Below are 9,188 nucleotides of genomic sequence, written 5' to 3'. Positions count from 1 at the left end.
AATAGGACACTGAGTAGGTATATTCTCATTCGGGAGCAGGGAGCTCTGGAACATGGAATGATGCCCACAGAGGATATGCCATACAAGGGTGTAGTCTAACCTGCTTGAGAATACTGGTGCTTAGTTATGTATTGAAGTTGCAGGAAGTTGGAGGAAGAAGGTTAACAAGAAAATGTGTGGTGATTGTGTACAGTCTTAATTTATTTATTTAACAAGTATTGTTGACTGTCTATTATGTACCAGGCACTGTGCTAGGCCCTAGAGGTACAAACACAGTGTCTAATTTTGTGAAGCTTGTATTCTAGTGGGGAGCACAGATGTCATCTATATTATCATAAGAATAACCATATATCAACAAAATGTAACTGATAAAAATGAAAGACACAAAGAATAGCATGTGCAAATGCCCTGTGCTGGGAATGAGCATGAATCTGTATCTGCACCCTAAGTTATGGCCACAGTTAGCAGGAACTAAAACCTTACATGTGGCTGATGCTCAGAGAGTGAGGAAAATCACAGTTCATGATGGCATTTGGGACGCAGGTAGGCAGAGGACAGACCCTGCTGAGCACTGAAAGTCATAGTAAGAAGTTTTGTCCTTGAATACTATTGGAACCTTTTAAAGCTTTTAGCACAGCATCTGGAAGGAGGGAAAGTAGGTTGACATAATCAGATCTGCATTTAGAAAAGATGACTTTGCCTGGAATGTGAATATCAGATTTGGGGAGGGGGCATAAATGCATGTGAAGTGACCAGTTGGGTGGCTATTGTAGTTGAGGTGAGAGATCATGGCTTACCCTAGGGTGATGGTGATGAAGATGGAGAGAACTGGAAGCTGTGGGGTCCCTTAGTGCATGAAACAATTTTGATGCAACCCACTGTAATGGAAACTTTGAGCCTCATAACACAGGTACCTTCAAATGTTAACACTCATATGTGAAATAAAATGGATTTTCCTGGTAGTTCAGCTGTTCAAGCTAGGATTAGAGAGCTATGACATGGTGAAAGTCAGATACTAAGTAGCCAAGTTAGGCCTTGAGCAAAAAGACTCTTGCTCAGGTTGTGTATATAAGATAATAAGCACTGATCAATTCTGTAAATGGTTAATCAGATGGACCTATATAGTCTTAGCCTCAGTCAATCAGCATGAGTTATTGACTATGCACTGTGCAGAAAATGTAAGTATCCCACAAATAGCCTCTAGTGTACAAAGAAATAAGCACCACCTCAATATATAAGATCCATTCAGTGAATACCTTCTAAATATTGAATAGATACTATTGAACCTAGCACTTGGCTCTGCAGAATTGTCAAGGGCAATTCACAGTGTGGATATCCTGAGGAGTCTGAGTTTCATAGGGCAATTTCTATCTATTGGAATGGGAATGTGGGGAAAGTCAATTGTCTTAGGTGTAAGTAAAGGGGGCTTAATAATTCTTTCTCCTAAACCGAAAAAAAAAAAAAAAGTAAATCTATTGATTTCCCTCATGATTCATCTTCTGCAGTGGTGTTTTTTCTCTCTGTGTCAGGACCTATATAGGACCAGCATTAATAAAGGAGGAGTAGCCCTTTAAGGCTAGGCTGGCTGAATGGGAGGATCCAAAAATGTCATCCTATAAGGGCCTTTAGTTTCTGGCGGAAGTATGTGCACAATTTATCTCTGAGCCTCAGTTTACAGGTAGCCCTCTGATGGGTCTGGCTGACCATGCTCTGCCAACTCTCCAGAATCCCTGACACCTTTCATAGGCTAGCTGACTGCCTTCTTGCTTAACTTGCAGATCACCACTTAACTATCTGCTTTCTATCCCTCTCCTTTCCAGTATCTTGCCAGCCTCCCACCCACTGTCTGCCATCTTTACTACTGCCCACTTCCAGGTTCGCATCAAGTTTCTTACCGTGGCCTATTGTCCTTCATGCTACATATTTGGAAATCCTGGGACAAATACCCTCAACCAGTGGTTCCAGTCTAGTTTTGTTAGAAGCACTTAGTGAAACTTCTTACAAATGGACATTCTTTGTCTAATTTTGTGTTAGATCATCTGGAGGCAGGTCCCAGGAATATTTATTTTTAGAAAGCTTCCGGCCAGGCGCAGTGGCTCACGCCTGGTAAGCCCAGCACTTTGGGAAGCCGAGGTGGGTGGATCGCCTGCGGTCAGGAGTTCCAGACCAGCCTGGCCAACATGGTGAAACCCCATCTTTACTAAAAATACAAAAAAAAAAAAAAAGTTAGATGGGCGTGGTGGAGGGCACCTGTAACCCCAGCTACTTGGGACGCTGAGGCAGGAGAATTGCTTGAACCCGGGAGGCAGAGGTTGCAGTGAGCAGAGATCGCACCATGGCACTCCAGCATGGGCAACAGAGCAAGACTCTGTCTCAAAAAAAAAAAAAAAAAAAAAAAAAGACAGCTTCCCAGGTGTTTTGAAAACACTCACTTGACCAGCGTTATGGAATCCCTGCAAACTATTTCACTTTGTGTTCCACTTAGAGGTTTCAAACTCTCAGTAAAGACAGGTCAGCATGTTGCCCTTTACGCTACTCTCAAAAAAATTTCCTGTTTCCTAGAGCAAGATATTGAATTAGAGTAATACTGCTTACCCCAGTTGATACAGGGGATACATAATTTTCATTCATAATAATAATAAAATACCCATTTATTGGGCACTTAGTATGTGTTAGTCTACTGACTGTTTTTCACAATTTTTTAGTTTAATCCTAACAATCCCAGGGTGATTTACGTTGATATATTAATCAGAAAAGTGACACTTAGAGAGGTTAAGCAGCTTGCCCAAGAGAAAGTGTCCAAGTTAGGATTTGAACCCAGGTCTGGCTAATGACAAAATTCACGCTCTTGGCTACATGGTCAGCAATTTATAATAAACAGGTGGCAAAGCTGACAGCCAAGTAAAGCTCTCCCTCCTCTGCTGTATTCTTTGTAGTTCACTCGAAGGTTCTCCACTGGGTTGGCCAGACATCCCCCTCTAAGATTACTGGGGGAATTAGGGCTCATAAGACCTCTACCAGCTGCCCACAAAGAAAGATCTGAATCTCACTAGTGAGTCTCTTGAGAACGGATGTGATAACAAACCTGAGGCAAAATCATAAGTGTTTTGTGCATCCTGGCTGTTTTTAAGTTATTTAAGCCCTACGATTCCAGCTCAAGTCTCAGCCACTTCCTCTCTTTTACCCTCATGCCATTACTTACTGTGAAACCGACAGCCGACCTGAGATTGCCAATACTGCATGTGAATCTGTAGGCAGCAGCAGAGGTCCCTGATGCCATTGTCTCCCGGACCACTGAAACTCCCTCGGGCTCCTCCCTCTCTGCAAGCAGCACTCTCTGTTCACTAGCACAGCCAGGTGCTTTTGTTCAGGCCTGGAAGGGGTGGAATAAACACAAAAAGATACCCTCTGCTTCACTGCTGTTAAACTACTGTCATCACAGCAAAGTGCTCTGCTACTTACAAGAAGTTGATGGGTCTGTGGCAGAGTTCTAAGAAGTGGACAAGAAACAAAGGGATTTTGTAACAGATGGGATGCCTGTTGAGTTATTAACATTTGTATCACAGATTCTATTTCTACTACATTCACCAGGGACAAATAACACACTAGCTTTGATCCCACTATTCAAAAGGAAGCTATAAGGTGACATAGTACAAAGGCTGCTCATTATAAAAATCCTGTTAGAATGCAATACGCTATTAATTGTTCTAAGATTCCCCATTATTAAAATAAAATACTTGCTAATATTCTTTTCTTTTTTTACAAGCAAAGTTGCATTTTAAAAATAACCTGTATATAATGTTTGCACCAAAAACAGTAACATTTGTTTTGGATATTTCTTTTCTCATTGTGCATATACTTCGTTTTGTTTTAAATTGTGTTACACAGTATTATAACTCTGATAAAGCACATAATGAATACTTACCAGTCGGTACAAAGGGTTTACCTATTTCTAACTATCTATGGAAATCAAATTATAGTGCAGTGCTGCATGAACGTTCACATCTTAATGTAAGGGGTAAAGTTACATACAGACAATGTAGGTTGTTAGGTAGATGAACCATTCAGCTGTAGAATGGACTCAGGCAAAGATTAGAGGCCTCTCTTTTGCTGCCTTCTGAAATGCCTCCTTGATCCAGTTTGCACAAGTAGTGAGATACTGAAATAATCTGACATTGGCAAAGTGTCTGTCAACTGTCTGAGGTGACAAATAAGGCATAAGTGAGTTTTCTTTGTCACATCTAGAGACACAAAAGTGAAATGGGAAGGGCGGCTTTCTAGTTAATCTTTCAGGAGAGTCCAGATGCACAGGCTGATACATTCAAAGCTGTTTTTCTTCACAAGGAGGCAGCAGGGAAAACGTGATTTTCTATGTATTTACCCCTCTCAAGAAACACGGGTCTCCTTTTGCCCTCTTCCTGCTACCTCAGTGTACAGATGGACTTTATTTTATAAACCAAGTGAAGGTTTAAATAAAAAACTCTATAAGGGCAGCACCCAGCAACCTTGCCTTTTATTTATCTGAAAAACAATAGTCTCAAATGAAGTTTTTCTTTGTCTTCAGAGTTAACCGAGATTCATCTCATGACCATATTGTGGAAGCTTCTGGAAATGCCACCAACCCTACCAGAAGTTTGTTTGCTTTTGTTTTTGCCTTTCTTTCTTTCTTTTTTTTTTTTTTTTTTTTGACTCCCTGAGCTCAATTCAAATGCATACTCACAAGAAAATAGGCACTTGGAATATAAGTGGAGGGACACACCCACTAAACTTGACTGCAGGCTAAATCGAAAATTCTGACAATCAATGTTAAGGAAGACAGTAGTTCTCAGCACATTATTTAACTTGAAAAATTCCTATTTTGACACCTTGGGGTTTTTTTTTGTTTGTTTGGTCATTCAGAGTTATCCCAGGGACCCAGGACTTTAGAGGTAAAAATGATCTCAGTGTAATGACCACAAAATAACTGTTTAAGGCCAGTTTTTATTTCACATAGACGCTATCAACAGTCATGCCAGTCCCCTGGTACAGGGTGAACTATCTGTACCCACACTGGACTGTATTTAAAATAATGTCCTCCTGAAGTGAGTCAGTATTTCCTAGAAACATTTGCCTAATTAGCTCTTTTTTTTTCTTTTCCTCCGGGTTCAAGCGATTCTCCTGCCTCACCCTCCCGAGTAGCTGGGATTACAGGCATGCGCCACCACACCCGGCTAATTTTTGTATTTTTTTAGTAGAGACGGGGTTTCACCATGTTGGCCAGGCTGGTCTTGACTACTTAGCTCTTTTAACTTATTTTTCCTGAAGAGAATCCCTGATACTAGTACCAAAAAACTTACGTTTTGTCAGCAAGTATCAGCATAGGTACCATTAGCAGAATTCTATGACAATTAGTTTCTATTGTTGATTGCCCAACTGTTTGGTCAAACACCAATTCCTCCACCATCTGTTTGAAAATTTCTGGCAGGAGAAAATGAATCTGGCAAGGCAAATATATTCAGCATGTCTTTGGACAGAAGCATACCTCTCAAGGGATTGTTTCCTCCTTCTTTTCTCCCTAGGTTTGCACACACCACAATGCCTGGTTTGGAAGCAGAATCCAGGAAAAAAAAAAAAAATCAGTGACTGGGCTGAAGAAACAGTTATTGGGACGCAGCATACACTCAAAAAGAAAGAACATTAATCAAAGCAAAATATTACATTATCAGTGGCAATGAAATTTGCTCACAAAGCTGGACTCATCCATGTTTCCACTCCCAACTATCTCTTTCCTCCTACCTCCCTGTTTTTTTCCCTTCTGCTGCATCCTTCGAGCTGCAGTAAATCATGTTGTAAAATGAGTTTGAATAGCAAAAGCATTAAGATTTCACATTCTGCAGCATAACAATGAACTGCCTTATGTTAGAATTCAAGCTTGTTAGTAAGGTTCCCAAATATTATCATCTCCTATGGTGGCAATTTACTAGCCATCCAGAAAAGTGGTTTTTACTACCGGAGCCAATATCAACCATGCCTTGTGAGCTGCAGATGGGGTCTCTTAGCCACAGCTCTGCATTCTGCACTGCCCAACACCTAATTTATACTTGGAAGCAAGTGCGTCAGCATCTGTGATAGATCGTATGGAGGTGTCATGTTAATCTTATGATGGATAAAGTAGCTCAAAAAGGAATTTCTTTTGAAGAGGCAAGGCTGTTCCAAGGAAGAGGGTCAGGGCCCAGGCACAAGCCTACAGGGCCTGCCCAGTGTGTCTGGGCACAGAAACGCAATGTCCAGATCAGGGTAGGAGGCAGGCACGAGGCACTTCCAGCTAATCATGAGTCAATTCAATAGCCTGCTTATGCAGTGACCTGGGTAGCCACTGCTTCTGTCTGTTGTATGCTCTAATTCAGCCCTGGAGTTTGGGGAGAGTGGAGTTGGAGTGTGCATGGTAAATGTGGTGAATAGAAAACACTGAGAGGATGATGGAAAATTCATTTTGAGACTGCCAAACAAAAGACAGTGCTGTCCTTGAGTGCCATCAATCTCTCTCTCCCTCCCCTCCCCTCCTCTCTCTTCTGTGAGGTGCTTGGAGCCTTTGAAAAAGCCAGAGAAGAAACATATTATCTCACATCCTAACAAAGAGGGAGGAGCAAGACAGTGAAAACTTCCTTAGGGGGTAAACTTAAGAGGATAAACACTCACGCTGGGAGTGAAATGGGAAAAGATTTTTTTTTTTTTTTTTTTTGAGATGGAGTCTTGCTCTGTCACCCAGGCTGGAGTGCAATGGCACGATCCTGGCTCACCGGAACCCCTGCCTTCCAGGTTCAAGTGATTTTCCTGCCTCAGCCTCCCGAGTAGTTGGGATTACAGGCATGCACCACCATGCCCGGCTAATTTTTGTACTTTTAGTAGAGGAGGGTTTTTGCCCTGTTGGCCAGGCTGGTCTCTAACGACTGACCTCAGGTAATATGCTCACCTCAGCCTCCCACAGTGTTGGGATTACAGGTGTGAACCACCGCACCCAGCGTGTATCTTCTTTTTTAATATTCAAGTTTCTATGTCAAAGTGGGTTAGCAATTTGAGTATATAGAAAAGGTTGACACTAAGAAGGTAGTTATTTTCAATTGATTATATTAAACTAAATCTCAGAAAGCCTGAAATTTAACACATTTCAAATCTTTATTGAGGGCTAATTGCTATGCCAAGTTAGCAGATAGATGAAGAAAAAATGTCTTAAAATTGACATAGAGATCAGAGGAGAGATAATATGCTGATGAGAAACACGTTTGCATTTTCCTAACTCAAAAATAGTTTTCTAATTGGGGTTTTAACAGGGAAAGTGAACCTCCACAGGGCTCTGGAAAGGAAATAGATACTTTATTTCTAATCCTCAACTATGACCTGGAATGTATGTTGACCATGAATTCCCTCTCCTGGAAGCGTGAAACCTCAGGTCATACAGAAATAGGAGTAAACGTGTGTTTTCATCTTCATGGAAAACTTGAACAACTAGCAACAGAAATAATGCTTTTAAATGATTTATCCTCCCAGAAGGAGAAAGAAGATTGCTAGAATATTTTTTAATAAATAATGCAGCATCCTGTTTGGTGTGTGTGCGTGTGTGCGTGTGTGTGTGTGTGTGTGTGTGTGTGTGTGTGGTGGTGGTGGTGGTGGTTGGGGTGGGGGGAGTCTCATTTATTTACTCACCACAGGGACTCTGAGGTGGCAAGGAATATCACCAAAACTGCTGTATGCATGAGGTTCCTGTGGTCCCATGGGAGAGATGAGGAAAGCGTTTCAGGACTGACTTGCTTCTGGGAAATTCAGGACAAAGACTCTTGTGTTTTAAAACATGCTCAAGTCTCTTTTCTTCCTGTATTACCCTAGGATTCATTCCCCCAAGAGAAGGAATTTGCAGTCAAGATAAATTCCATGTCATCGTCAATGAGTAGATATCAAAATATTCACTTCTACTACAGAGCCAGCCACTCAGTAGTAGCAACAACAAAACCTTTCCCTGCAGTCTATTGCCCTTGATACCGTTCTATTTTTCTCCTCATCTCTCAGCCAAATTCCCCAAAAGAGGGTCTGGTCTAGATTCACTGTCTCCATTTGCCTATCTCCCTGCTGCTCCTCAACTACTGCATTTTGTTTTTGCTTCCAACCTCTACGTCTCCCACCCGCTACCCCACTAAGACAGCTCAGCTGAGGCTGTCCTAAACATGGTAGCCAGTAGCCTGTGTATAATAAAAGCCAAAGCACTCTTTTGAGTCTTGTTCTGTCTTGTTTGACCACCCATTAGCACTTGACATTTGATGTTCCTCCTTGAAATTCTCTGTTCTGTTGGTTTCTGTTACGCTGCCCTCTACTATTAATAGCTTTACTTCTACTTACCTGACCACTCCTTCCCAGACTTCTTGCAAGCCTCTCTGCTTCTGTCCAGTCCTTAAAGGCAGGTGATACTAAAAGCCATATCCTAGGTCTTATGCTTTTTAACTCTGCATGCTCCTTTTGAACTAGCTCATAGACTCACATGCCCACAAAAAGTCTAGCTTCATCTCTGATCTCTCTTGTGCTTCGATCCTCTGTATCTGACTAATTGGCATCTCCACTTGGATGTCTTAATGATATCTCAGACTCCAAACTCCAATACTGAAATCATCTTCATCCTCAAACCTGCTACTTGTTTTGTATTTCCTATCCTAATAGGTGACATCACCACCGCCCCTGCCAGTAAGTTACACAAGCCAGAAACCAGGTACCCTCTTGATTATTTCTTTTCCCTATCCTCCCACCTCTAAATTGAGTAAATTCTACCTCTTAAATCTGCCCAGTTTGCTCTATCTCCATGCTACTACCCTAGCTTGGGCCACCACGACTTGTAGCCTGGCCTACTACAAGAACAAACTCTTAATTGGTTTTCTTTCTCCCCTCCTTATCCTTTTCCAGTTGGTTCTGCTACACTACAGTCAGACTGGGCTTTCCCAAGTGCAATCCTGATCAAGTCACTCCCTTGTTTATATCCTGCACGTGGCTTCCTGCTACCCATGATAAAGTCTAAAGTTTCTAGACTCGATTACAAAGTTCTCCATCGTCTAGACTTTTTTTTAACCTATCCTATCTCTCTTGCACCACACTCCCCTTTGTACTCTGTATTCCAGCTATGTTTAAGTTTTTGTTTTGTTTTGTTTTGTTGTTTTAGCTTTGCAAAA

At 41.6% G+C, this 9,188-nt stretch overlaps 2 annotated features.

The window, feature by feature from the left end:
• Positions 2,535-3,161: an enhancer, noted in NCBI's record as "OCT4-NANOG-H3K27ac-H3K4me1 hESC enhancer chrX:96894853-96895479 (GRCh37/hg19 assembly coordinates)". NCBI's record gives its function as "activates a minimal SCP1, AML or CMV promoter by ChIP-STARR-seq in naive H9 embryonic stem cells {active_cell/tissue: H9 hESC(naive)}" and the evidence as "EXISTENCE:reporter gene assay evidence [ECO:0000049][PMID:30033119]".
• Positions 3,162-3,790: an enhancer, noted in NCBI's record as "OCT4-NANOG-H3K27ac-H3K4me1 hESC enhancer chrX:96894224-96894852 (GRCh37/hg19 assembly coordinates)". NCBI's record gives its function as "activates a minimal SCP1, AML or CMV promoter by ChIP-STARR-seq in naive and primed H9 embryonic stem cells {active_cell/tissue: H9 hESC(naive and primed)}" and the evidence as "EXISTENCE:reporter gene assay evidence [ECO:0000049][PMID:30033119]".

This window comes from Homo sapiens, chromosome X, assembly GCF_000001405.40.
Source record: "Homo sapiens chromosome X, GRCh38.p14 Primary Assembly".
Taxonomy (NCBI): Eukaryota; Metazoa; Chordata; class Mammalia; order Primates; family Hominidae; genus Homo; species Homo sapiens.
Note: the sequence above shows the minus strand (reverse complement) of the source record. Positions and strands in the feature narration are given on the sequence as shown.